This window comes from Homo sapiens, chromosome 17, assembly GCF_000001405.40.
Source record: "Homo sapiens chromosome 17, GRCh38.p14 Primary Assembly".
Classification (NCBI taxonomy): domain Eukaryota; kingdom Metazoa; phylum Chordata; class Mammalia; order Primates; family Hominidae; genus Homo; species Homo sapiens.
In genome coordinates, this window is record NC_000017.11 from 9,564,762 (window position 1) to 9,591,832 (window position 27,071).

The window sequence follows — 27,071 nt, forward strand, 5'->3', positions numbered from 1 at the left end:
TAAAATGGCCATACTGCCCAAAGCAATTTATAGATTCAATGCCATTCCTATTAAACTACCATTGACATTCTTCACAGAACTAGAAAAAAGTATTTTAAAATTCATATGGAACCAAAAAAGAGCCCAAATAGCCAAGGCAATCCTAAGCAAAAAGAACAAAGCTGGGCCGGGCGCAGTGGCTCATGCCTGTAATCCCAGGACTTTGGGAAGCCAAGGCGGGAGGATCATCTGAGGTCAGGAGTTCGAGATCAACCTGGCCAACATGACAAGAGCCCATCTCTACTAAAACTACAAAAATTAGCTGGAAGTGGTGGCTCATGCCTGTAATCCCAGCTACCTGGGAGGCTGAGGCACGGGAATCACTTGAACCCGAGAGGCAGAGGTTGCAGTGAGCCAGGATCGTGCCACTGCACTCCAGCATGGGCGACAGAGCAAGACTCTGTCTCAAAAAGAAATAATAAAATAAAAATAACATAGCTGGAAACATCATGCTACCCAACTTCAAACTATACTACAGGGCTACAGTAACCAAAACAGACATAGACCAATGGAACAGAATAGAGAACTCAGTTGACCAGGCACAGTGGCTCACGCCTATAATCCCAGCACTTTGGGAGGCCGAGGCGGGCAGATCACTTGAGGTCAGGATTTCGAGACCAGCCTGGCCAACATGGCGAAACCCTCTCTCTAATAAAAATACAAAAATTAGCTGGGCATGGTGGCACACACCTGTAATCCCAGCTACTCGGGTAGCTGAGATGCAAGAATCACTTGAAGCCAGAAGGGAGAGGTTGCAGTGAGCTGAGATCATGTCACTGCACTCCAGCCTAGGTGAGAAGAAACACCGTCTCAAAAAAAAAAAAAAAAAAAAAATAGAGTACCCAGAAATAAGGCCACACGTACAACTATCCGAGCTTTGACAAAGCTGACAAAAACAAGCAATGGGGGAAGGATTCCCTATTCAATAAGTGGTGCTGGGATAACTGGCTACCACGTGCAGAAGATAGAAATTGAACTCCTTCCTTACACCACATGCAAAAATTAACTTCAGATGGATTAAAGACTTAACTGTAAAACCTAAATCTATAAAAACCCTGGAAGACAACCTAGGCAATACTATTCTGGACATAAGAACAGGCAAAGATTTCAGGACAAAGACATCAAAAGCAATTGCAACAAAAGCAAAAATTGACAAATAGGATCTAATCAACTAAAGAGCTTCTGCACAGAAAAGGAAACTATCCACAGAGTGAACAAACAACCTACACATTGTGAGAAAATATTTGCAAGCTATCCATCTGACAAAGATCTAATAGCCAGTATCTATAAGGAACTTAAGCAAATTTACAAGAAAAATCCACCCCATTAAAAAGCAGACAAAGGACACGAATAGACACTTTTCAAAGGAAGACAGGCATGCTGCCAAAAAAAACAGGAAAAAAAGCTCAACATCACTGATCATTAGAGAGGTGCAAATCGAAACCACAATGAGATACCATCTCACACCACTCAGCATGGTTATTACTAAAAAGTCAAAAAATAACAGATGCTCGGGAGGTTGCAGAGCAAAAGGAACACTTATACACTGTTAGTGGGAGTGTAAATCAGTTCAGTCATTGTGGAAGACGGTGTGGCAATTCCTCAACGTACTAAAAACAGAAATACTATTTGATTCAGCAATCCCGTTATTGGGTATATCCCCGAAGGAATAGAAATCATTCTTCCATAAAGACACATGCATGTGGCCAGGTGGGGTGGCTCACACCTGTAATCTCAGCACTTCGGGAGGCCGAGGTGGGTGGATCACCTGAGGTCAGGTGTTCGAGACAAGCCTGGCCAACATGGCGAAACCCCATCTCTACTAAAAATACAAAAATTAGCCAGGCATGGTGGCAGGCACTTGTAATCCCAGCTACTCTGGAGGCTGGGGCAGGAGAATGGCTTGAACCTGGGAGGCAGAGGATGCAGTGAGCCGAGATTGCACCACTGCACTCCAGCCTGGGCAACAAGAGCAAAACTCCGTCTCGAAAAAAAAAGAGAAAAAAAGAGACACATGCATGTGTATGTTCACTGCAGCACTATTCACAATAACAAAAGACATAGAATCAACCTGATGCCCACCAATGGTAGACCAGACAGAGAAAATGTGGTACATATACACTATGGAATATTATGCCGCCATAAAAAAGATCGAGATCATGTCCTTTGCAGGAACATGAATGGAGCTGAAGGCCATTATCCTTAGCAAACTAATGCAGGAACAGAAAACCAAATACCGCATGTTCTCACATTCTGTAGGTTGTTTGTTCACTCTGTTGATATAAGAGAGAGCTAACTGGTGAGAACATATGGATACATAGGGGGACATGACACACACTGGGGCCTAGCAGAGGGAGGAAGCTGGAAGGAGGAAGAGGATTAGGAAAAATAGTAAGTGCTAGGCTTCATACCTGGGTGACAAAATAACGTGTACAACAAATCCCCATAACACAAGCTTACCTATACAACAAACCCACATATGTACCCCTGAACTTGAAAGTTAAAAAATAATTCTAATAACTTTGGAACATAATAACCTCAGCATTCTTAGTAGATTAGTCTACACTTAAAAAGACTCAAATTTTGAACTCAGTGTTTGTCGTGGTACCTTATAGTAATTTTGAAACCATTTTCTGTAAACTGTAAAATAGACCAAATGAGTAAAAACATACTGATGCTTTTGGAAACTAGGATTCTCAGTGTGAGAGAAAGAAAATACAAATTTGGAATGTGGAAAATAAGGAAGAAAGGTGTGGTGTTAGATTTGAATCAGAGGCTTCTATTTTCAATCATAGTCACAAGTATAAACTTGTGATTTCACAAAAATCTATTTCTTAGCCAAATCCCACCACTGTTTTTATACAGCCCAAAACTAAAGATGGTTTTTACATTTTTTTCTTTTTTGAGACAGGGTCTCACTCTGTTGCCCAGGCGGGAGTGCAGTGGCACGATCTTAGCTCACTGCAGCCTCCACCTCCCAGGTTCAAGCAATTCTCCTGCCTCAGCCTCCTGAGTAGCTGGACTACAGGTGTGTGCCACCACGCCTGGCTAGGTTTTATATTTTTAGTAGAGATGGGGTTTCCCCATGTTGCCCAGGCTGGTCTCGAATTCTTGACCTCAAGCAATCTGCCCGCCTCAGCCTCCCAAAGTGCTGGGATTACAGGTGTGAGCCACTATGCCTGGCCTGTTTTTACATTTTTAATGTAAAATGTAAAAACTATAACTATTCTTGTGGTGAGAATGGAAACTCAAAGACTTGAAGACATTATCTCTTGGCCTGCAAAGACTAAAAGATTTATTATCTGTAGGAAGTTTACTAACCCCTGAACTAGACTATAAAATTGTTAGAAATATTTAAAGTAAAACAGGAGAACTTAAATGTGTTATGCCTCATTTAGTCTCAATGATTACATCACTACTAACTGGTTGGGTGTTATGTCAATTCAACATATGTAAGCAGATAGATCATCATACACACATGTGCACAGACAGCCTCAAAGAAAGATAGGAGGGTTTTCAGGCCTCAAAACTCAAACAAATCATTGGGTACTAATTCCTTCATGGTATTACCTTTGGTGCCTTTTCACCTTTTCTTTCATATTGATTTCGTTGTTGAATTTTCTCAGCAATTTCTTGGGCAATTTGACAAGTAGAATCGTATGTGGAGAACCTGCACCAAAGTCGTAAAAAGAGAAAATGTTTAAGGTTCTTTTTTTTTGAGACGGAGTCTCGCTCTGTCGCCCAGGCTGGAGTGCAGTGGCACGATCTCAGCTCACTGCAAGCTCTGCCTCCTGGGTTCGCACCATTCTCCTGCCTCAGCCTCCCCAGTAGCTGGGACTACAGGCGCCCGCTATCATGCCTGGCTAATTTTTTGTATTTTTAGTAGAGATGAGGTTTCACCGTGTTAGCCAAGATGGTCTCGATCTCCTGACCTCGTGATCCGCCCCCTCGGCCTCCCAAAGTGCTGGGATTACAGGCGTGAGCCCCTGCACCTGGCCTTAAGGTTCTTTAAAAGAAATTTTTGCATTGTCTAAGTTTGACATTTTCATTCTAGCCAAAGAATTCAAACAGAGGGGAAGAATAATAACATGACCAGTAAAAGCAACATGGACTGAGCGTTATTTACCATGTGCCAGGCACTATTTTGAAGGCTTCGTTAGTAATAACTCACTTAATCAAAACAGGAACGCTATGAAGTGGGTACCATTACCATCTCCAACTCACACATGAGAAAAGGAGGCACAAAGAGTTAGAGTGACTTGCCCAAGTGGTTCTGCCTGCTGCAAACCAAGGCCGTCTGGCCCCAGAGCCGGGGCTCTTAACAACTGTGCTGTTCTGCCAATGAGAAAGCATGTGGGGGGTCTCCGCTGCACTGGGCACTGTTCTGGGCACTGGAGAAGACGGCAGTAAACAGAATGAACACAGTCCCTCTTTCAAGGAGCTCATATTTTAAGGAAAGAAAGTCATAAAACAATTAAATACATAGTATGTCAGGTGTTGATAGGTGCTAAGAAGAAAAACGCAGCAGGATAAAGGGACAGAGAGTGATAAGGAGCTGCTACTTAGGATCAGGTGACACCGAGGCAAGGTGAAGAAGCTGGGCTTGCAGATGCCTGGGGGCGGCTCTAGGGTGCAGGAACAGCAAGTATTGTCTAGCCTAAAACCAAATGCTCCGGGGACAAAGGCCACACACCCACCTGACATCTGAGCTTGCCAGAATTCTCTCAAAACATTTAATAAGCTTCTAGTTGTCATTCAGCAGCGTTGGAGGCTTTGAAGGGTTCACGGTGAACTCCCAATAGCCCCTTATGTTTTGCTTCTCTCAGAGCATTTTTACTTTCTATCATATAGAAAATACTTAAGCAGACCGGATGCGGTGGCTCACGCTTGTAATCCCAGCACTTTGGGAGGCCGAGGCGGGCAGATCATGAGGTCAGAAGTTCGAGACCAGCCTGGCCAACATAGTGAAACCCCGTCTCAACTAAAAATACAAAAAATTAGCCAGGCATGGTGGCGGGTGCCTGTAATCCCAGCTACTTGGGAGGCTGAGGCAGGAGAATCGCTTGAACCCAGGAGGCGAAGGTTGCAGTGAGCTGAGATCACACCATTGCACTCCAGCCCGGCGACACTGTGAGACTCCATCTCAAAAAAACAAACGAACAAAAAAACGAAAATACTTAAGCATGCATACACATTTCATTTCTCCTATCAGACAGTCTGCTCCTAAAAAGCAGAGACTCTGTGGACTAACATGACCAGCATTATCTTCCAGGACCAGTCCATCACAAAATATCAGAAACTCCTGTTGCCCCTAATGTCCTAATTTTTGCTTGAGTAAACAATATATTTTTTAAAACCTTTCAATTCCCACATATCATTTGAACACTGAGGGAACTTGATAAGTGTTTTTTTTTAAATGAAGGAAAATGCGCCCATCAATTCCCTTAGGAATCTTACTAGAATAATTATAGCAATAGTAACAGCTGAGTACCTGACCTGAGCCAGGTCCTATACTAAGAGCTTTACACTGTAAACTTCATAAGGATCCTGAGAGAGGATCCTGAACCACTAACCACTATACTGTAAAGCAGCACCATTCATGTATATATCATATATATATCACACACATTCACATATATCATATATATCACTGATACATATATTCATATATATCACATACCTATCGTTTATATCATATATACTATATATTCGTATATGTCACATGTATATCATTCATATATATATATTCATGTATTTGTGTGTGTAGGGAAAAATAGCAGTGATACAAGAAAACACAGAATTAAGAAAACAGGAGGCTAATAAGGAAAATTGGGTCCTGGTCCAAACTTTGCCACATTTCACTTTTTTTTCCTCCATATTATCATGAAAAGAGGAGCCTAGGTCTGGCTCTGGGGTCCAGACCATACATATAAAAATCATCCACATATGGTAAGTTTTGCCTCCTGCCAAATGTGGGATCTAAGTGGTAAGTACGTCTGGAGTTCAGAGGTGGAAGAGATTACTGCTGACCAAGGCACTCAGATGGAGAGGGTCCATGAGGTTACATCTGGATGACCACGAAGTTAAAGCAGGTCTCTTATTCAGACAGGAGGGAGGAGCACATTCTAGACTTAGTGAAAGACAGGGCGAGCAAAGATGAATGGAAGGAAACGTGCCCGGCACATTTGGCTGCGTGGTGGCCCTGGAAGCCTGTTAAGTATAAAATGGTAGAGATGAGTAGAAGCTAGTTTCTGCAGAGCCTTGAACACCAGTCTAACAAGGTTAGACTTAAAGGAGAATTTCAGAGCCATAGAGAACACTTTTACACACAGAGAGTGGCCCTAAAGAGGTTATGAGAAATGCACACAGCTAGCACAAACTCCCAGGTGTCCTGACTCCAGTCCTTGTGTTGTTATTTTAGCCCTAAAGAGCAATAGTTCTGAAACAAGTTGGAATCACTGGGGAATCTTTAAAAAAATAACAATGCCTGGTCCCAACCTCAGCATTCTGACTCAACTGGTATGGGGTTTGTCCTGGGCGTGCGTGGGGAGCTTTAAAAGCTCTCCAAGTGATTCCAATCTGCGGTAAAGTCCGGGCGGGAACCCTTGGCCTGGGGCAATAGACAACCTCATTACACTATCAAGCACACAGGTGCCTGAAGTACTAGTTTAGAAAAAGTAATTGGGTCGGGGGGTGGCTGAGGCAGGAGAATCGCTGGAACCCGGGAGGCAGAGGTTGCAGTTTGCCGAGATTGTGCCATCGCACTCCAGCCTGGGGGACAAGAGCAAGACTTTGTCTCAAAAAAAAAAAAAAAAAAAAGTAATCTGGGCCGGGCATAGGCGTAGTGGCTCACACCTGTAATCCCAGCACTTTGGGAGGCCAAGACGGGTGATCACCTGAGGTCAGGAGTTCAAGACCAGCCTGGCCAACATGGCAAAACCCCATCTCTACTAAAAATACAAAAATTAGCCGGGCATGGTGGCGGGTGCTTGTAATCCCAGCTACTCGGGAGGCTGAGATAGGAGAATCACTTGAACTCAGGAGGCAGAGGTTGCAGTGAGCCAAGATCATGCCACTGCACTCCAGCCTGGGCGACGGAGCAAGACTCCATCTCAAAATTAAAAAAAAAAAAGGTGTGGAGGGTAGAGATGAAACAAGAATGGCAGAATATTGATAATCACAGAAATTGGGTGGTGAGTATGAAAGGGGCCCATTATACTATTCTAGTTTGTGTATCTTTTACCTTCCAAAATAAAGTTTTTAAAAAGCAATTCAACACAAAGAAGACCATGCTACCAACATAAAAAGTCCAATCAGGATATAAAACTATTAAGGTTTAACTGTAATTTTTCTGGAAATGGTACATCATCAACAAATTAGTTACCCTGGAGGTAAAGCTAATTAACATTAGCAAAGAGCCAGTTCAGAGACAGTGATCATGGGCTCCTTCTGTTAAACAGCGAGCTTACCACTTGCTTTGATAGGCCATTAAAATAGTAACTGCTATATTCCATTGCTAGACACTGAGGGAGGTGCCAATGACCTATGATTTTAGCAACACAAAGGTAAAGCTGTAGTTGAATCTGTTTTTATAGGTTGTTTTTGTTTGTTTGTTTTGTTTTGTTTTGACATGGAGTCTCGCTCTGTCGCCCAGGCTGAAGTGCAGTGGCGCAATCTCGGCTCACTGCAACCTCCACCTCCTGGGTTCAAGTGATTCTCCTGCCTCAGCCTCCTGAGTAGCTGGGATTACAGGTACACACCAACATGCCCAGCTAATTTTTGCGTTTTTAGTAGAGACGGGGTTTCACCATGTTGGTCAGGCTGGTCTCGAACTCCTGACCTTATGATCCGCCTGCCTCAGCCTCCCAAAGTGCTAGGATTACAGGTGTGAGCCACCACACCTGGCCTTTTATAGGTTTTTCAAGTCCCTTCCCATACTCCTTTCTACCCCCCTAATCAGCGACCCATTTTGTGCTTTGGGAGCACAGCTGAGTGTCTCACTGTTTCACTCTCAATAGTCCAATGAGAAAGCCACTTCATCAAACTAATGAAGTATAACAGAAAAAGTCTCAATGCTTTATCAACATTAACTGCGGAAGAAGCTTGGGGTCCAGTGATAGCTTCCACCAATCTAAATAGATAACTGGGGGCCTGTCCCTTATCTTTGACCTTTATTTCCTACTTGATTTGTAAACTGAGGGATTTAGGTTCCAGAAGGTGGAGGGCAACTTAGGAATATGTATTGTAAACCAAAATAAAATTCTAAGCCCACCCCCAACACCCCCCCCCACCCCCGCAACCATCTGAACGGACCCCTACTCTAAGGCAAGGGCATTCCAAAGTTAACCTGAAACACTGGTTCAGGCCATGATGGGAAGAGGGGATCAGACATGCCTCATTATATATCCTCTCCTCCTTTTTGGAATTCAGGAAAAGCCAACCAGCATTAACGTCAATACAGACCTTAAGTCTGATAAGAAACACTTACAATGTATTCTCTCTAAAGCCTGCTACCCAGAGGCTTCATTTGCATAATAAAATCTTGGTCTCCACTACCCCTTATCATAACCCAGACATTCGTTTCTATTGATAATAACTCAACCAATTGCCAATCAGAAAATTTTTCAATCTACTTATGACCTGGAAGCCCCCCACGCCCTTCGAGGTGTCCCTCCCTTCTGGATTGAGCCATCATAAATCTTACATGTATTAATTCATGTATTATTCTCCCTAAATTGTATAAAAGCAAGCTGTTCCCCAACCACCTTGGGCACAGGTCTTCAGAACCTCCTGAGGCTGTGTCATGGGTGCATTCTTAACCTTGGCAAAATAAACTTTCTAAATTGACTGAGACCTGTCTCAGATACTTTGGGGTTCACAGTATCAAGGGCCTTAAAAATGTTTATACCCTTGAGCCCAACAGTTCTATTTCACTTTCAACAGTCTAATGAGAAAGCCACTTAGTCAAACTGATTGAGAATAACAAAAAAAGTATAAATGCTTCACTTTCAACAGTTCTAATTCCTACTTCTAGACAGGGAGCCCAAGGAAATAAGAGATAGAACAAAGGGACTCCCTTTGCAATGATAAAACAAAACAAAACATCAGAAAAACAAAAAACTAATAGGAGAAAAATAAATTATGGTCATTCATGTGATGCATTATTTTGCAACATAAGACAATTATGAGGCCAGGTGCGGTGGCTCACACCTGTAATCCCAGCACTTTGGGAGGCCAAGGCGGGCAGATTGCCTGAGCTCAGGAGTTCAAGATCAGCCTAGGCAACACGGTAAAACCCTGTCTCTACTAAAATACAAAAAATTAGCTGGGCGTGGCTGCGTGCGCCTGTAGTCCCAGCTACTCCAGAGGCTGAGGCAGGAGAGTTGCTTAAGCCCAGGAGGTGGAGGTTGCAGTGAGCCATGATCGCGCCATTGCACTCCAGCCTGGGTGACAGACAGAGCAAGACTCCGTCTCAAAAAAAAAAAAAAGAAGAAAAGAAAGTTATGCTTTCAAAGAATGTCCAATGACATAGAGAAATGCTGTTTATATTATATATATATATAAAAATATAGATTAAAATAACAAATTCATTGTAAAAAAATCATTAATGGCTATTTCCAAATTATAGAGTTAAAGATGCTATTTATTTTCCTTTTTGCAAATTTTCAATATTCTCTAAATTGAATATTCTCTATCAAGGGGTGTATATAACTGTTAAAATTAGGGATTTTGGGGTTTTTTATTTTTTTTTGAGACGGAGTTTCGCTCGTGTTGCCCAGGCTGGAGTGCAATGGCACGATCTCAGCTCACCACAACCTACACCTCCCGGGTTCAAGCGATTCTCCTGCCTCAGTCTCCCGAGTAGCTGGGATTACAGGCATGTACTACCATGCCCGGCTAATTTTGTATTTTTAGTAGAGACGGGGTTTCTCCATGTTGGTCAGGCTGGTCTCGACCTCCCGACCTCAGGTGATCTGCCTGCCTCGGCCTCCCAAAGTACTGGGATTACAGGCGTGAGCCACCACCGCGTCCGGCCTAAAATTAGGTTTAAAAAAGTAAATGCTAAATTAAATAATTGGCCCAAATAACCTAGATTCCAGGTAACTCAACTTTGTTCTTGGAATCCATTCTTCTAATATCCAGGATGTGGGCAACTTAAACAATTATAAACTATATTAGAAATAACAACATAAGACACATATTCCAACAAGAACGTTATAGAGCTGTAATATGTTTTTAATTATTAAGCAGAAAGGTCAAGTCTATGTTCAATAACAATACGTTCCTTGGGATCAAACAATATGTTCCTTGGGATCAAAAGTTGCATCTTTCATCATGCAGTCCTTGGGATTAACTGCTAAATAAATCACCCTTATCAGCTATTGTTTTACTGCAGAAGCTACTGCTAAAGGAAAAGACTTCATGATATTAACTCAAGAAAGTGCAAAATGCCTTATAAACAAGTGCACAATTTCCCTCCCAGGTTCCTGTATCTGGAAGGGCCCCCAAGATCTAGGTCTTAGCCCCAGCTGGTTACTAACTGGCTGGTGGCCATGGATTCTGAACCTCGGTTTCTCCACCTGTGAAATAAGGGGGTTTACCGGGATGGACTGACATGCTACAAAAACGTTATTTCGACTTCACTTTTATAGGAGTCCAGGGAAGCCTGCACCAGCCAGCTAGCTCCAAAACCAGGATGGGCGGGAAATCCCCGCAACGAGATGCAGCCCAGAAAAGCTAAAGGAATATTCAGAGATTTGGCGTAAGTCCTCAGCTCTCCAGCGGACCACCTGGTCTCCTTCCCGGGCCACCCTTGCAAGGACCAAGTGTGGCGGGATGTGGCTGAGCCCCCTCAGTAAAGGAAAGGTCTCGCTGCCCCTCCCCTCATCCCGAAAGGCCACCAGCGGCAATGCGAAGTGATTGCCTGCTCTCCGGAAGCCCGGCCTCCCCGAAGGTCCCTCCACGCACCGCCGCCCTCACCCGGGACTCACCAGGGGTCCGGTGCCATCCTGCAGACTCCGCCCGCCGCTCGGACTCTTCCTGCTCTTAGCAGCTGACTACGGCGGCCCGCGCGGCTCACTCCCCGCAGTTCGTCCCGTGCGCGACCGGAGCCTGGAGTTTGCAAAGTGAGTAGCTAGGGCCTCAGAACTATAATCAGAGAAAGCAAAGCGCTCCCCTGCGGACAGTACACTGGAGCAATCTACTCCCACCAAGAGACGCGAACTGCTAAGCTCAGTTAAAATTGTTAAATAGAAACAAAGCATTTTCCCAGGAAGGTGGGAGCGCTGCAAGACCTCTCTGTAGCAGTTACTTAAAAATTTATCCTGCTTCAAAAACAAAACAATAAACAAAACACTAGATTGCGGTGAGACTTGCACGCTGCGTAAACTCACTACAACCTACTTTAAGTTAACTTTATGATATGTAAATTATACCTCAACGCTTTTTAAAAAATCTTTAAAATTTTTTTCACACTGCTCCAAACAGGGGCCCAAAGAAGTATCAATTATATATATTTTTTATAGCAGCCTTCCTATCAGTCCTGTACGCCTGATTACATATTTTTTAAATGCCATTCATTCGGTGCTTGATTTTAGAGTTACTAAGAAGTCACAGACTCTACACAAGGGGATGGAGGAATTAGTTCTGCGCAGTTAGTGCCATCCCCTAAATTTCCAGAGAAATAGCACAAAAAAAAAGAAGAGGAGTCCCACCCCATCTCTCTTCCAGTCCCCATACCCCTTCATTTCCAAGAATGCTAATGAACTCGAACTCGGCAGGCTGGGTTTCTGCGCGGGCGTGGAGCTGGAGCGCATGCGCTCGTCCGTTACCATAACGACCAGAAGACGCTGCAGCCACTAGGGAGGAGAGCAAAGTAATCAGAACCTCCCAAGGATGGATAACAAAATTTCGCCGGAGGCCCAAGTGGCGGAGCTGGAACTTGACGCCGTGATCGGCTTCAATGGTGAGGCCTCCAGCATCTTTGGGCTGGCTGGTTTAGGAATTCGGAGGACGTGTAGTGCAAACAGGAATAGTGAGACACCGGGGACACCTGAAAGGCAGTGTGGGACAACGGCAGGAGCCCTGGCCAGGGACACGCACAGGAGGACCCGCACAGCCTGACCTGCCCCAAGGCCTTGGAGAGTCACTTCCTCGATCCAAGCCTCAGGGAGTGAGATGGTTTTTACCAGCTCGGACAAGCGCCAGCACCTAAAAGGGACCAAATGCCTCTTCCCCAGGCGGGCCGGATGAGTACGGGTGGTTGTAACCCTTCTCCCACTAGGTCAGCCCTTCCTGGCTCTGAACCCCACGCCGCTCGCAAAGCCCTAGGCTCCTTCGTAACCACACAGAAGGATGCTGTCTGTGTCGGCCCCTGGGACCAGCTAGGAAATCTGCTAAAATCCCAACTGGCGTACCAGTGAGAAAGGGCTGGGAGGGAACGTGTGTTTGAGCAACCCCCTGAGGGGATGTTGTTGGTCCTCTAATCCTAAGGAAGGTTTCTAAATGATGAGGATTTCAGACCAGGACAGAAGGGGAAGGGGACGCCAGGGGGAGCTAAAGCGGAGAGAAAAAGGGACTGGGCCGCTCCGCTGAAATCTTATTTGTGACTGCCTATTGTTTTGAAGATTCTGGGAAGAAAAAGCTGTGGGGTTTTATTGTTCGTTTTGAGGGGTTTTGGTTTTTTGAGGGATGAGAAAACAATGAATTAGATTTTAGGAGAAGCAAAACTTTTCAAAAATGTGTGTTGTGATGCCTGAAAGCTTTAAGAATGTGGATGCAGAACAATCACTGTCTAAAGTTTTAAGCATACTCTAGGACTTAGCTCTTGACTCTTGGTTTAACTTTAACAGTCTCCAATAGAAAGTGAGTGCTTTATACATTTCGGATATCAGATATCTTGAGAGTTGGTTACAAGATCATTGAGAAACAATTGAGCAGCCTACAGTGGGTTGCATAATGTCACTTGTTGAGCCAATGTAGAACCACACACATAGAACTCTGCAACTGAGGCCGGGGGCAGTGGCTCATGCCTGTAATCCCAGCGCTTTGGGAGGCCAAGGCAGGTAGATCACCTGAGGTCAGGAGTTCGAGACCATCCTGTCCAACATGGTGAAATCCCATCTATACTAAAAATACAAAAATTATCCGGGCGTGGTGGTAGGTGCCTGTAATCCCAGCTACTTGAGAGGCTGAGGGAGGAGAATCACTTGAACTTGGGAGGCAGAGGTTGCAGTGAGCCAAGGTCACGCCACTGCACTCCAGCCTGGGGGACAGAGCGAGACTCCGTCTCAAAAAATAAATAAATAAATAAACAAACAAACATACATATTCAACAGGTTATAGGAGGAGCTATGAATACTCATGAAGGTGGTCCCAACACATGTGTATTGAACAAACATTGATGTAATATATCACTCATATTCACCTTGGGATGGAGACCTAACATTTAAATGTATTACAATTAGGTCCTATATGTCAAAAGGCCTTTTCAGGACATGACGGCACGTTAAGTGGGAAGCCTCAGTAAACTGGCCAGAGGTAGTCCGTGGTGAGTGGTCTTCTTGCCAGGAGAACATTACTGAAATCACTCTGTTGTCCAATCAAAATTGTTCTTATGGCGGGTTGAACAGGGCTTCAGTTAGTAAGTGCCTATGAACTGGACAGGTTGCAGTTGTTTTCATATTGCTTATCTCAAGATAAGTGCTTGTTTAGCTGCCAGAGAAAAAGAAAAACCTTGTGGCAGTGTATAGTTTATTTTATTTATTTATTTTGAGACGGTGGAGTCTCGCTCTGTTGTGTAATGGCACAATCTCGGCTCACTGCAACCTCCACCTCCTGGATTCAAGCTATTCTCCTGCCTCAGCCTCCAGAGTAGCTGGGATTATAAGCACCCACCACCACGCCTGGCTAATTTTTGTATTCTTAGTAGAGACGGGGTTTCACCAAGTTGGCCAGACTAGTCTCCAATTCCTGACCTCAGGTGATCCACCCGCCTTGGCCTCCCAAAGTGCTGGGATTACAGGCTTGAGCCACCACACCCAGCCACAGGGTGGAGGGGTGCATGGCCTTAGGTCCTGTTTATAATTTGATATCTTATTGCCACACAGTCTGTCAATCTTATGATCTCTATTTTAACATTAATGCTGATCAGTTGTGTCTAAACCACAAAAGAGAGGGGGTATAATGAGGCATGTCTGACCTCCCATTCCGTCAAGGCTGGGAACTCTGCTTTAAGGTGTTTTGGGGGTCCCTTTGTCCAAAAGGGGATCTGTTCAGTCAGTGGCTGGGGTGGGGCAGCGTGGGGATTGGGGAGCTTATGATTTTATTTTTAGTTTACAAAAGTGATTGAGTTTTCTGTATTTTGTCTTCACTGAAAAATGTTTATTTTAAAAAACTATACTAGCTCTAAAAAAAAGAGGGAGAGAGAGAAAAGACAGAACTTTCATAAGGCTCGGGAGAGAAGATTTTGACTAGGAGTCAGCGGGTAAAGATTGAAGGCAGAATATTTCGGGTTACAGCAATAGCGGGGGGCAGAGGAGGAAAAGTGGAGAGTGCAGGGCCTGGTTGCAGAACGGCAAATAGCTTGGGGTGGCTTCAGTATCAGGGACTGGCAGGATAACACAGGAAAGAGAAGCTGGAATTAGATTTCAGAGGCCTTAAATGCCAAGTGATTGAGTTTAGATTTCAGATGGAAACAAATTAGAAACAAAAGCAAGGCCCCTTTTTTCACTGCAACACTGAAACTCACTATAGTGTTACATTATTCAACTTGAATTTTGTTTTTGAGATGGAGTCTCACCCTGTCTCCCAGGCTGGAGTGCAGTGGTGCGATCTCAGCTCACTGCAACCTCTGCCTCATGGGTTCAAGTGATTCTCCTGCCTCAGCCTCCCAAGTAGCTGGGATTACAGGTATCCACCACCACGCCTGGCTAATTTTTGTATTTTTAATAGACACGGTGTTTCGCCACGTTGGCCAGGCTGGTCTTGAACTCCTGACCTCAGGTGATCCACCCGCCTCGGCCTCCCAAAGTGCTGGGATTACAGGCGTGAGCCACTGCGACTGGCCTTAAACTTGAATTTTAACTTTATGGTATCAATATGTAACTGTACTTGACACTTGTAGGTATTGCATTTTGGCAGGAATTAATTATTTAAGCAAACCAAATATACTTGTGTTAAAAACATTTAATAAAGTTATAGTTATTAAGGGTTTGGTCACATTCATCCATTGACTGGAGTAGGTAGCCCATGATTTTCCTATTATGGTATACAAAGAGTTCTTGTAAACTAAAAACAGCAACAACAACAAAATAGATCAGGAGTCTACAAACTATAGCCCATGGGCCAAATCTGGCCCACTGCCTGTTTTTGTAAATAAAGTTTTATTGGAATGTAGCTATGCCCATTTGTTTATGTATTGTCTATGGCTGCTTTTATACCACACTAGCAGAGATGAGTAGTCTCAAGAGACCATATTGCCCACAAAGCCTAAAATATTTACTCTCTGGACCTTTCTTAAAAAAAAAAAAAAAAAGCCAGACCCTGTAAATAGGTAAATAAATATAAATGGCTATTAGCTCAAAAAGCTTAAAAATGCTATTAAAGTTCATGTGCGGTGGCTCACACCTGTAATCCCAGCACTTTGGGAGGTTGAGGCAGGAAGATTCCTTGAGGCCAGGAGTTTGAGACCAGCCTGGGCAACATGGTGAAACCCTATCTCTATAAAAAATACCAAAAAATAGCCAGGCATGGCGATGCATGCCTGTAGTCCCAGCTATTCGAGAGGCTGAGGTGGGAGGATCACCTGAGCCCGGGAGGTAGAGGCTGCAGTGAGCCATCACTGTACCACTGCACTCCTGCCTGGGCAACAGAGTGAGACCTGGTCTCAAAAAAAAAAAAAAAATGCTGTTAAAGCAGTGATGGTTTTTGCTTCTCAAACTGGCAAAGGCAAAAAAAGAAAAAAAAAGGGTAATATAATAAGGTGAGAATAAGAAATGGTTCTCAATTACTACTGCCGGTATTAATTTTACAACCTTGTTGAAGGCCAGTTTTATAGTATCTATTACAATTCTTAATGAAGATAATCTTTGAGCTTTTAAGAACTTGAATCACTTATTCAAGTTTTCAAAAAATTTACGTGCAATGAAGTTCACTGTGATATTGTCTATAATAGCTGAAACATTGGAAGAAACAACCCAAATATCCATTGGTAAGAAGTTTTAAAAAACTACGTGGCCAGGCGTGGTGGCTCACGCCTGTAATCCCAGCACTTTGGAAGGCCCAGGCGGGTGGATCACGAGGTCAGGAGATGGAAACCATCCTGGCTAACACGGTGAAACCCCGTCTCTACTAAAAATACCAAAAAATTAGCCGGGCGCGGTGGCGGGCACCTGTAGTCCCAGCTACTCGGGAGGCTGAGGCAGGAGAATGGCGTGAACCCGGAAGTGCTGGTTGCACAGCATTGTGAATGCACTAAATGCCACTGAATTGTTCACGTTAAAACAGTTAATTTTATGTTATGTGAATTTCACTCCAATAATTTTTAAAATTATATTCCTTTTGTGCAATTTGATACTGTACAATCCTTAAGAAAAATGGAATAGATGTATATAAACTAATGAGGAAAGATGTCAAAGATATATTAAGTATAAAATGCAATTTGCCATACAGTGTATATGATATGAGCCTATTACAGTTTAAAGTGTACATATGTTTGAGAGAGAGAGAGGGGATAGAGAGAGAGGAGAGGGAGGGAGGGACAGAGGGAGACAGAGAGGGAGGGAAAGAAGGCGAGAGAGAGAGAAAATGGAGTGTGTGTGAGTATGTCTGGAGAAGAGAGCAAAGAATATGAATTGTAGTGGACATGCGTAGTTTTGGTTACTCATATCTGAATACTATTCTATTTGAGAAGTATCCCAAGATAGGTAGGAGCTGGTTCTATTGCTTTAGTGAGAGCCTAAAAGAGGCACATATTTTCTCTCCTAATTCCTTGGCAGCCAATTGAGAGATGTAACATAATTGGCTCAGCCAATCAGACATTCCCACTCCGCAGTTCCACTCTTATAGGAGTGATGCAAAGGAGCATTGAGCGTTGAGCAGTGTGGCCATGAGAGGTCTTTAGTTCGTGTCACTTGGTCTCGCCTTGCTATTAGTTCTGCCCATTTTTCAAGTGTGACCCAAACTTCCTGCCAGTTGTGTGAGCAATATGTATTCCTTCCATATAATTCTTTTTCTGCTACATTTAGCCAGAGTTGACTCTTCTAGTTTGCAACCAAGAACCATAATTTTTAAATGCAAAAACAAAAATAAATCTGAAGAAATACACACCTGCATGTTACAAGGTTATCTCTGGGCAGGTTGCACACCTAAGAATAGAGTAGCTGGGTCCTGGGGCATGTGCGCATTCAAGCATCATCAATAAAGACACATTGTTTTCCAAAACGATTAGACCGATTTACTCTCCCACCAAGCATTTTATGAGTGTTGGCTTTGTTCCACATCAACACAGATGCCTGGTACTGTCAGCCATCTTAATTTTAGCCATTTTGGTGGATATGACATGGTATCTCATTTCGGACATAATTTACATTTTCCTGGTTACTTATGAGGTTGCATCTCTTTTTGTAGGTTTATTGGGTTTTGAATTTCCTTCAGCATAAACTGGCTATCCATATCCTTTGCTCATTTTTCTATTGAGAAGCATATGTTTTCCTTATTGCCTTGTAGGAGTTCTTCGTATATTATGGAGATGATCCTTTGTCTATTGTATACATTGAAAATATCTTCTTGTTTGTGTTTTTCTCTTCATCCTTCCAATAACAATGTCTTTAGTAATTAAATTTTTTGATTTTTTGAGAAAGAGTCTCACTCTGTCACCCAGGCTGGAGTGCAGTGGCACAATCTCAGCTCACTGCAACATCCACCTCCCAGGTTTAAGCGATTCTCCTGCCTCAGCCTCTCAAGTAGCTGGGATTATAGGTGTCCACCACTACGCCCAGCTAATTTTTGTATTTTTAGTAGAGACAGGGTTTCGCCATATTGGCTAGGCTGGTCTCAAACTCCCAGCCTCGAGTGATCTGCCTGCCTCGGCCTCCCAAAGTGCTGGGATTACAGGCATGAGCCACCCAGCCCAGCCTAGATGTTTTTCATTTTTCACATAACTGGGTAAATATTTCAGCCTTTTCTTTTATGATTTGCTCTTTTTGTGTCATAGTTGGAAAGTCATTTCTTACTTTTGTACACACTGTCTTGTTTTTCACATTTAGGTCTTTGATCTACCTGGAAGATATTGTTTGTGTAAGGTGTGAATTATGAATCTAAGTTTAATTTTTCCATATGGATAGCCATATGATTGTTTATAAAGAACCTGCAATTAGAAAACTATAAAAAATTTTTAGTAGGAATAGATCACCCTAAAGACATAAACCTTGGTATTATAAGAACATACTGCATAAAAAAGGAACACTCAATTAAAATGAAAAAAAATCATTTATTCAATAATTACATTTGGCCATTTGAGCAAAAATAATCCATTTAGCTACAGGAATCACATAAAGCACCAAAATAAATTCCAGAGGGAGTTAAATATAAAAGAAGCATTCATTTAAGAACAAGAAGATTATATTAATAAATATTTATGAGTCTTTCGATGGAGAAGGAGATAGCAACAAAAAAGTTTTTTAAAAACCCAAGAATAAATGTAATAAGAAATGAGTGAGATCTTTATGAAAAAAATGGAAAATGCTACTAGAAGGCATAAAAGGAGACTTATGAAGAAACATATCCTGTTTTTAAAATAGAGGTATTTTATATTATTATAAAAATCATTTTCCCTTAAGTTAATCTATACATTTAATACTATCTCACTAAAAACACAATCATGAATTTTAAATAGCCAAGGTGACATGCAAGTTTGTATTGTAAAATAAACACGAAGAGCAATCAAAAAAATTCTGACCATAGGTGAGCAATAATGGAGGACCTGGGTCTGTTTCATATTAAAACATATTACAAGGGTTTATAATTGTTGAGATGGTTCTTGGTATAACCAAAATCAAGTTTGGGCCACTTGTCACTTGAAAGCTAAAAACTCAAGAGATGAGCTTTGGTGAAAGGAAGGTTAGCTTTATTGGAGAAGCCAGCAACCCAGGGGAGACAATAAACTAGCGTTCAAAGACCACCTCACCGAGTTGAGTCTCTGAATCAGGGAAATTAGAGGAATAATGATCAAAGCATTTTTGTGAAACATGTGCAGTCTCAGGTAGGCAGTTAGTCAATATGTTGGGGCCTTCTGCAGATGCCATCTGCCCTGTTCTTACCAGGCTGGTCAGCCCATTCCCAGAGTTGTTGGTCATTGTATTTTCTTTTATTTTTGCTGAAGGTCCTGTTCTCCTGAAACTGTTTTTAGTGAATAAACTACCAACTCAAGCAAAACAATAATTACATTCAAGCATACAAACTTTTCTCTAACATGGAAGCAGTAGTGTTACCTTGGCAGATATTTGGAGTACGGGAGTTGCCTGTGGAAAGAGGTGTCACCATGAAAGGTCCCAGGCTCTTCAGAGCACCTGGTGGGCACTCAGAACTGAAACCGAAAGTTAAAAAAATTATTTTCCTGGTTATATTGAGGCATACTTGACATATTAAGGTTGTATCAATTTAAAGTGTATAACACAATGTGTTGATAGACATATACATTGTGAAATGATGTCTACGATCAAACTAATTAACATATTCACTTCACATAGTTACTTTTTGTGTGTGATGAAAACACTTAAGATCAACTCTTTTAGCAGATTAATGCAGTATTTTTTTTTTAATTTATTTGTTCATTTTTTGAGATGGAATTTTGCTCTTGTCAACCAGGCTGGAGTGCAATAGTGTGATCTCGGCTCACTGCAACCTCCGCCTCGTGGGTTCCAGTGATTCTCCTGCCTCAGCCTCCCGAGTAGCTGGGATTACAGGTGCCCACCACCAAGCCCAGCTAATTTTTTGTATTTTTAGTAGAGACCGGGTTTCACCATGTTGGCCAGGCTGGTCTTGAACTCCTGACCTCAGGTGATCCGCCTGCCTCGGCCTCCCAAGTGCTGGGATTACAAGGGTGAGCAACCGTGCCTGGCCACACAATGTAATATTACTTAGCCTTTAAAAAGAAGGAAATCATGCCATTTGTAAAGACATGGATTAACCTGGAGAATATTATGCTTTGTGAAGTAAAATAGGCCAAATTTTTATATTTACCCAACCTTTGCCTGAGGTAGTTGACTCCCATTCTCCCTATGCCTGTGCACTCACCCAAGCAGGCTGCTCACACTCCATGCATTCGTGCTTTTTAGGATTACGAGAATTGGCCGTAGGACTTGCTGGACCAGCATCAGCATCACTTAGGAGCTTATGAGAAATACAGAATCTCAACCCCTTCTCAGACCTGAAATCAGAATCTGCATTTTAACAGGATCCCTCAGGGATTTTTATAAACATCAAAGTTTAAGATGTGATTACTAGATGAACGTTTTTGTCAGTGAAATAAAATTACCTATTTCCCCAACTTCTTTTAGCTGAACTAAGGCTTATTTTTAAAGTGTTGGCCGGGCGCGGTGGCTCACACCTGTAATCCCAGCACTTTGGGAGGCTAAGGTGGACGGATCACGAGGTCAGCAGTTCAAGACCAGCCTGACCAACATGGTGAAACCCCGTCTCTACTAAAAATACAAAAAAAAATTAGCCAGGTGTGGTGGCGGGTGCCTGTAATCCCAGCTACTCGGGAGGCTGAAGCAGGAGAATCACTTGAACCCAGGAGGTGAAGGTTGCAGTGAGCCCAAGACTGCACCATTGCACCCCAGGCTGGGTGACAAGTGCAAGACTCTGTCACACACACACACACACACAAAGTGTTGTGTTTTGTACTCAAGTAGAAAATTCCTGGCCACTTCTGCACCTGATTATTATTACTGTGAATCTCTCTCTTTTAGGACATGTGCCCACTGGTCTCAAATGCCATCCTGACCAGGAGCATATGATTTATCCTCTTGGTTGCACAGTCCTCATTCAGGCAATAAATACTAAAGAGCAGAACTTCCTACAGGGTCATGGCAACAACGTCTCCTGCTTGGCCATCTCCAGGTCTGGAGAGTACATCGCCTCCGGACAAGTCACATTCATGGGGTTCAAGGTGAATACAGTGAAAACGACTCATTGTCAATTTATCTAGAGGTGCCTCCCTAGAAGAACTGCCCCACTTCAAGTTGTTAGTTCTATGTGGCAATGTGCTTTATTCTTCCTTCTTCTTCTTTTTGACTTCTCTTTTAACCCATTTTCATTCCGTCAGACCGGGAGTGAAGGACTCTGATGATTTTATACCCGAGGTTGCAGCTTGTGACTGATAATGCTCACAAACAAAAGTTCCCGCTTAAAGCTGTTTCCATTGTGTTGCTGTCATGTTTGTAGAACCTGATCCGATTTCTAGAAAAGTGATAGAGCGGGCTGGGCGCGGTGGCTCATGCCTGTAATCCCAGCACTTTGGGAGGCCTAGACGGTCGGATCCCCTGAGGTCAGGAGTTCGAGACCAGCCTAGCCAACATGGTGAAACCCCATCTCTACTAAAAATACAAAATTAGCAGGGCGTGCTGGTGCATGCCTGTAATCCCAGCTACTCGGGAGGCTGAGACAGGGAGAAGTGCTTGAACCCAGGAGGTGGATGTTGCAGTGAGCAGAGATCTCGCCATTGCACTCCAGCCTGGGCAAAAAAGAGTGAGACTCCGTCTCAACAAAAAAAAAAAAAAAAAGAAAGAAAAAAGAAAAGTGACAGTACTAATTGTTTTTCACCAAGAAGGGTAGCTATCTCCTCAGATGCTTTTAATGCCTCCCTATGATCTGACGGTGTGTTCTTGCCCCCAGGCAGACATCATTTTGTGGGATTATAAGAACAGAGAGCTGCTTGCTCGGCTGTCCCTTCACAAAGGCAAAATTGAAGCTCTGGCCTTTTCTCCAAATGATTTGTACTTGGTATCACTAGGAGGCCCAGATGACGGAAGGTAATGAACTAAACATAGTTACTTATTTTCTTTATTTTTTTTAACTTTTATTTCAGGTTCAGACGTACATGTGCAGGTTTGTTATATAGGTAAACTTATGTCACGGGTTTGTTGTACAGATTATTTCATCAACCAGGTGCTCAGCCTAGTACCCAGTAGTTATTTTTTCTGATCCTCTCCCTCTCCCACCCTCCACCCTCAACAGGCCCCAGTGTCTGTGTTCCCTTCTATGTGTTCATGTGTTCTCATCATTTAGCTCCCACTTATAAGTAAGAACCTGTGGTATTTGGTTTTCTACTCCTGCATTAGGTTGCTAAGGATAATGGCCTCCAGCTCCATCCATGTTTCTGTAATTCTCATGATCTCATTCTTTTTTATGGCTGCGTAGTAGTCCATGATGTATATGTACCACATTTTCTTTATCCAGTCTACCATTGATGAGCATTTGGGTTGATTCCATGTCTTTGCTATTGTGAATAGTGCTGTGATGCACATACAATCATATGTGTCTTTATGGTAGAACAATTTATATTCCTTTGAGTATGTAGCCAGTAATGGGATTGCTGGGTTGAATGACAGTTCTGTTTTTAGCTGTTTGAGGAATCACCACCCTGCTTTCCACAATGGTTCAACTAATCTACTCTCCCACCAACAGTACCTAAGCATTCCCTTTTCTTTGCAACCTCACCAGCATCTGTTATTTTTTGACTTTTTAATAATAGTTGTTCTGACTGATATGAGGTGGTTATCTCATTGTGGTTTTACTTTGCATTTCTCTAATGACCAGTGATATTGAGCCTTTTTTCATATGCTTGTTGGCTGCATGTATGTCTTCTTTTGCAAAGTGTTCATGTCCTTTGCCTGCTTTTTAATGGAGTTTTTGTTTTATCTTATAAATTTATTTAAGTTCTGTATAGATGCAAGATACTTTTTCAGATGCCAAGTTTGCAATATTTGCTTATTTTCTGCAAGGCGTATTTCCAGAAGTGACAAGGGCCCTGTCCCCTCTAATGTTCTCTCTTGGCCCGTCTGTATTTCAGTATGCATTGTCTGAAAAGCCTCTGAGAAAAATACCATAAAAGTGGTTTTCAAAGTTGGCTGCATGTTGAAATCACCTGGGCAGCTTTAGGGAATCACTGGTGCCTGGGTGTACCTTCCAAGAGTCCGATTTGATTGGCCTGAGCTCTAAGAGTTATACAAGCTTCCCAGTACTGTGTTGAACACAAGTGGCCAGAGTGAGCATCTGTGAGGAACATGGCTGTGCTTTGGTCAAGGATAGGCCAAGGTAGGATGTTTACATCCTGCGTGACTCAGCAAGTTTAGAGTGCAGGCGTATAATTCCACTGTTAACACAGCCATGTTGCCATAGCATGGGAAAGGCCATCACTTGGCTCTACACCACTATTGTCTGTTAAAGGGATAATTGCCCTGTGGACACTGTGCAGGTGCCCTGGCGCCCAGAGAAAGAGAGAGAGCCAGAGCTGTCCATCTTTGCAGATGGACAAGGGGGAGCCAGGACACAGCTCAGCCCGCTCGTGCCCAGAGAGACAAAGAGTTAAGTTGCTGACCCTGAAGGCAGGGTAGAGCTGGCTGCGCAGCTGTATGTGGGAGATGCCAGCTCAAGCAGCGGAGGCAGGGCAGACAGTGTGAGAAAGCTGTTGATGAGAGCTGCTGCTGAATAAAATCATCTTCCACCTGCCTACAGCCCCCGAGTGTTCTTTCTGCTCATCTACCCACTCACCTCGGACTTCAGCATGGGCTGGACCTGGACCCTGGGATCTGACAGCATCCATATCTTGTTTCAGGTCTTAGTGGAAAGGCTTTCAATTTCACCCCATTCAGTGTGATAATTTGCTGTGGGTTTGTCATATAGGGTCTTTATCATGTTGAGGTATGCTCCTTCCATACCCAATAGAATATTTTTTAGCCACAGAAAAGAATTTTTTTTTTTTTTTGAGATGGAGTTTCACTCTTGTTGCCCAGGCTGGAGTAATGGCACAATCTCGGCTCACTGCAATCTCCGCCTCCCAGGTTCAAGCAGGCAGATCACCTGAGGTCAGGAGTTTGAGACCAACCTGGCCAACCTAGTGAAACGCTGTCTCTACTAAAAACACAAAAATTAGCCAGGCATAGTGCCGGGGCCTGTAATCCCAGCTACTTGGGAGGCTGAGGCAGGAGAATCACTTGAACCTGGGAGGCAGAGGTTGCAGTGAGCGAAGATTGCACCACTGCACTCCAGCCTAGGTAACAGAGCAAGACTCCAGCTGAAAATAAATAAATAAACAAACAAAATATATTAGGAAGAACAATCAATGCAAGACATTCCTATGTAAATGTCAAAGGATCACAATCTGTAGAAGAAAAATAGTAACACCTGAGGTTTGTGTGGGATTTAATACTTCAGTACACTTCTATGTATATTTTCTTATTTAAGCTTCATAGGTTTATTACAAAGGAAATTTATATTTGTGTATAGTTATATAACGATAGTTCTTCTCTTACTATATAGCAAGTCAACAAAATTTTCATGAGATTTCCTCTTTTTCTTGTCATTCACAAGTGGTCACCCCTTCCCTGGCTCATTACCACTTGACTGTTTCTGATAATAAATGTATTGGCCGGGTGTGGCAGCTCACGCCTGAAATCCCAGCACTTTGGGAGGCCGAGGCAGGTGGATTACCTGAAGTTAGGAGTTTGAGACCAGCCTAGCCAACATGGCGAGACCCCATCTCTACTAAAAATACAAAAATTAGCCGGGCATGGTGGCAGGCGCCTGTAATCCCATCTACTCAGGAGGCTGAGGCAGGAGAATTGCTTGAACCTGGGAGGCGGAGGTTGCAGTGAGCCAAGGTTGTGCCATTGCACTCCAGCCTGGGGACAAGAGCGAGACTCCGTCTCAAAAAAAAAAAAAAAAAAAAAAGAAAAGAAATGTATCCAGAAATCCCCTGTTAACATTCTTAGCTCAACTTTTTTTTTTTTTTGCAAGCAGAAAAAGCCTTGTTTTATTTTAATGACTGATCTATGTAATCACCAAGAGTGCTATCTACAGACAAGAAATGGGGAGCTTCTATTTCTTAGTTTCTTCCTCCTTGGGCAAGTCTTGATCTTCTCCTTCTTGGCCCGGAGGTGCTCTTCACAGTGCTTGTGTGTTTCCTTGGTCTTGGATCTGTGGGCCTGAGCCTGTTCAGCTGGGAGCTTTTCACAGGCTTTGTCTGCCGTCAGCTCATGGATATGTTCCGTGAGAATCCAGTTGTTTTTTGAATACATTCCCCTCCACCTTCAGGTACAAGCTGTGATACGTGTGGTGATCAATCTTCTTCGATCCATGGTATCTTCAGAGCAGGTGGCGCAGAATCCTCATTCTCCTCATCCAGGTTACTTTCTCTGGCAAAGGGCTACACCCTTTGGCTTACCTATGCCCATGTGCCTGCCCTTCTGGCGGGCCAAGGTGTTTTCCCATCATCCAGCCAGGGAATGGACAGTCACAGGCTTATGGATAATTAGCCCATCTTTGATCAGCTTCCAGATCTGCTGGTGGGAGGTGGCCTTGGCAATTTCACTGGTCTCATTGGGGTCCAACCAGACCTTCTTTTTGCCACGGCAGAGGGCACTAGAGGCAAGCCCCTTCTGAAGCCCAAACATTCTCATGGCTTTGGCCACTGCAGCGAAAGAAAAGAGTTCCAACATCCTTCGTTCAACTTAAAGCAGTTATTCTCAACCTTTGGAGCACACTGATATTACCTAGGAAGATTTAAAAAACACTGACGCCTGGGTCCCACCCCCGGAGATTCTTGGAGCTAGGCCATTAGGCCACCCCAATCCCACCCCCTGTCAAAGAGACTAGGTCTTGCGGGGAAAATGGCCCCTTAACCAAGGTTAATCTGGCAAAACTGTTAATCTCTGCTGTAATTTTAAGCTGCCTAAAATTTGTTTGCAGAACATTCAAGAATGTTGAAAACCAAAAGAAAGAAAGGAAAACAAACCTTGCTGTACTAAAAAAATGCAATATGCCCATCCCTGGATAGTCTCTGTGGTGAGAAGGGTGGAGTTCTGCTGATTGGTTTGGAGAGTCAGGGGTCAACCCTGAATGTGTGGCAGGGGTTTATTCTACCCAACCCATCTAGCTTCTACACAGAGGAAAAGAAACAAAAGGGAAGCTGCCAATTATAGTGGACATCCTATAGTTTGCATGCATCTTTTTTTTTTTTTTTTTTTTTTTTGAGATGGAGTTTCACTCTTGTTTCCCAGGCTGGAGTGCAACGGCATGATCTCAGCTCACCACAACCTCTGCCTCCCAGGTTCAAGCGATTCTCCTGCCTCAGCCTCCCAAACAGCTGGGATTACAGGCATGCACCACCATGCCTGGCTAATTTTGCATTTTTAGTAGAGACGGGGGTCTCTTCATGTTGGTCAGGCTGGTCTCGAACTCCCAACCTCAGGTGATCCACCCTCCTCGGCCTCCCAAAGTGCTGAGATTATAGGCTTGAGTCGCCGCTCCCGGCCTGCATGTATCTTTTAAATTTTGTAACCTATTTATGAAACTTTTTCCATTGATGTCATCATGGTATTCATGTTGTAATGCAACCTGCTTTTTGACTAACTTTATATGAAGGACATCTATGTCCACACACGTAGATATAGATCTCATTCTTTGCCATAATAGCATAGTATTCCATTGTACAGATGTGCTGGAATCTATTTGGCCAGATCTCTATGTTGTTGCCCTTTGTTTTATCTATTTTTAAAACAAATTTGTGTTTGTGCGGGGTGCAGTGGCTTACACCTGTAATCCAAGCACTTTGGGAGGCCAAGGCGGAAAGGATCACTTGAGCCTAGAAGTTCAAGACTAGCCTGGGCAACATAGGGAGACCCCTGTTTCCACAAAAACTGAAAAATGAGCCAGGCACGGTGGTGTGTGCCTGTAGTCCAGCTACTTGGGAGGCTGAAGTGGGAGGATTGCTTGAGCCCAGGAGTTTGAGGCTGCAGTGAGTGGTGATC

At 43.4% G+C, this 27,071-nt stretch overlaps 2 protein-coding genes and 1 pseudogene across 11 annotated transcripts in view, besides 2 other annotated features; 1 reads left to right on the forward strand and 2 right to left on the reverse strand.

Moving 5' to 3' along the window:
- STX8 (syntaxin 8) overlaps positions 1–11,059 on the reverse strand; it is a 325,350-nt gene extending 314,291 nt beyond the window's left edge. For 3 of the 4 annotated variants that reach the window (NR_033656.2, XR_934120.3, NM_004853.3), the window contains exons 1-2: positions 11,031–11,059; positions 3,610–3,709 (exon numbers count right to left, since the gene is read on the reverse strand). Coding sequence is in view for 2 of the 4 variants with exons in the window: in NM_004853.3 (NP_004844.1) it covers positions 3,610–3,709; positions 11,031–11,047 (117 nt within the window). In the remaining 2 variants the exon portion in view is untranslated. Of the gene's footprint in view, positions 1–3,609; positions 3,710–4,736; positions 5,177–11,030 lie in introns of those variants that run through there. The other variant, XM_011524079.2, reaches the window with a different exon arrangement.
- Positions 11,042–11,221: an enhancer, noted in NCBI's record as "active region_11726". NCBI's record gives its function as "activates an Ori minimal core promoter by ATAC-STARR-seq in GM12878 lymphoblastoid cells {active_cell/tissue: GM12878}" and the evidence as "EXISTENCE:reporter gene assay evidence [ECO:0000049][PMID:35858748]".
- Positions 11,881–27,071, forward strand: part of CFAP52 (cilia and flagella associated protein 52) — a 68,913-nt gene continuing 53,722 nt past the window's right edge. For 2 of the 7 annotated variants that reach the window (XM_047435437.1, NM_145054.5), the window contains exons 1-3: positions 11,881–12,004; positions 21,012–21,211; positions 21,937–22,073. In XM_047435437.1, the coding sequence (XP_047291393.1) occupies positions 11,935–12,004; positions 21,012–21,211; positions 21,937–22,073 (407 nt within the window). In that variant the 5' untranslated portion in view covers positions 11,881–11,934. The remainder of the gene's footprint in view (positions 12,005–21,011; positions 21,212–21,936; positions 22,074–27,071) is intronic. The other 5 variants (XM_047435439.1, XM_017024227.2, XM_047435438.1 and 2 more) reach the window with 3 other exon arrangements.
- Positions 12,014–12,143: an enhancer, noted in NCBI's record as "active region_11727". NCBI's record gives its function as "activates an Ori minimal core promoter by ATAC-STARR-seq in GM12878 lymphoblastoid cells {active_cell/tissue: GM12878}" and the evidence as "EXISTENCE:reporter gene assay evidence [ECO:0000049][PMID:35858748]".
- RPL19P18 (ribosomal protein L19 pseudogene 18) lies at positions 25,059–25,754 on the reverse strand (annotated as a pseudogene).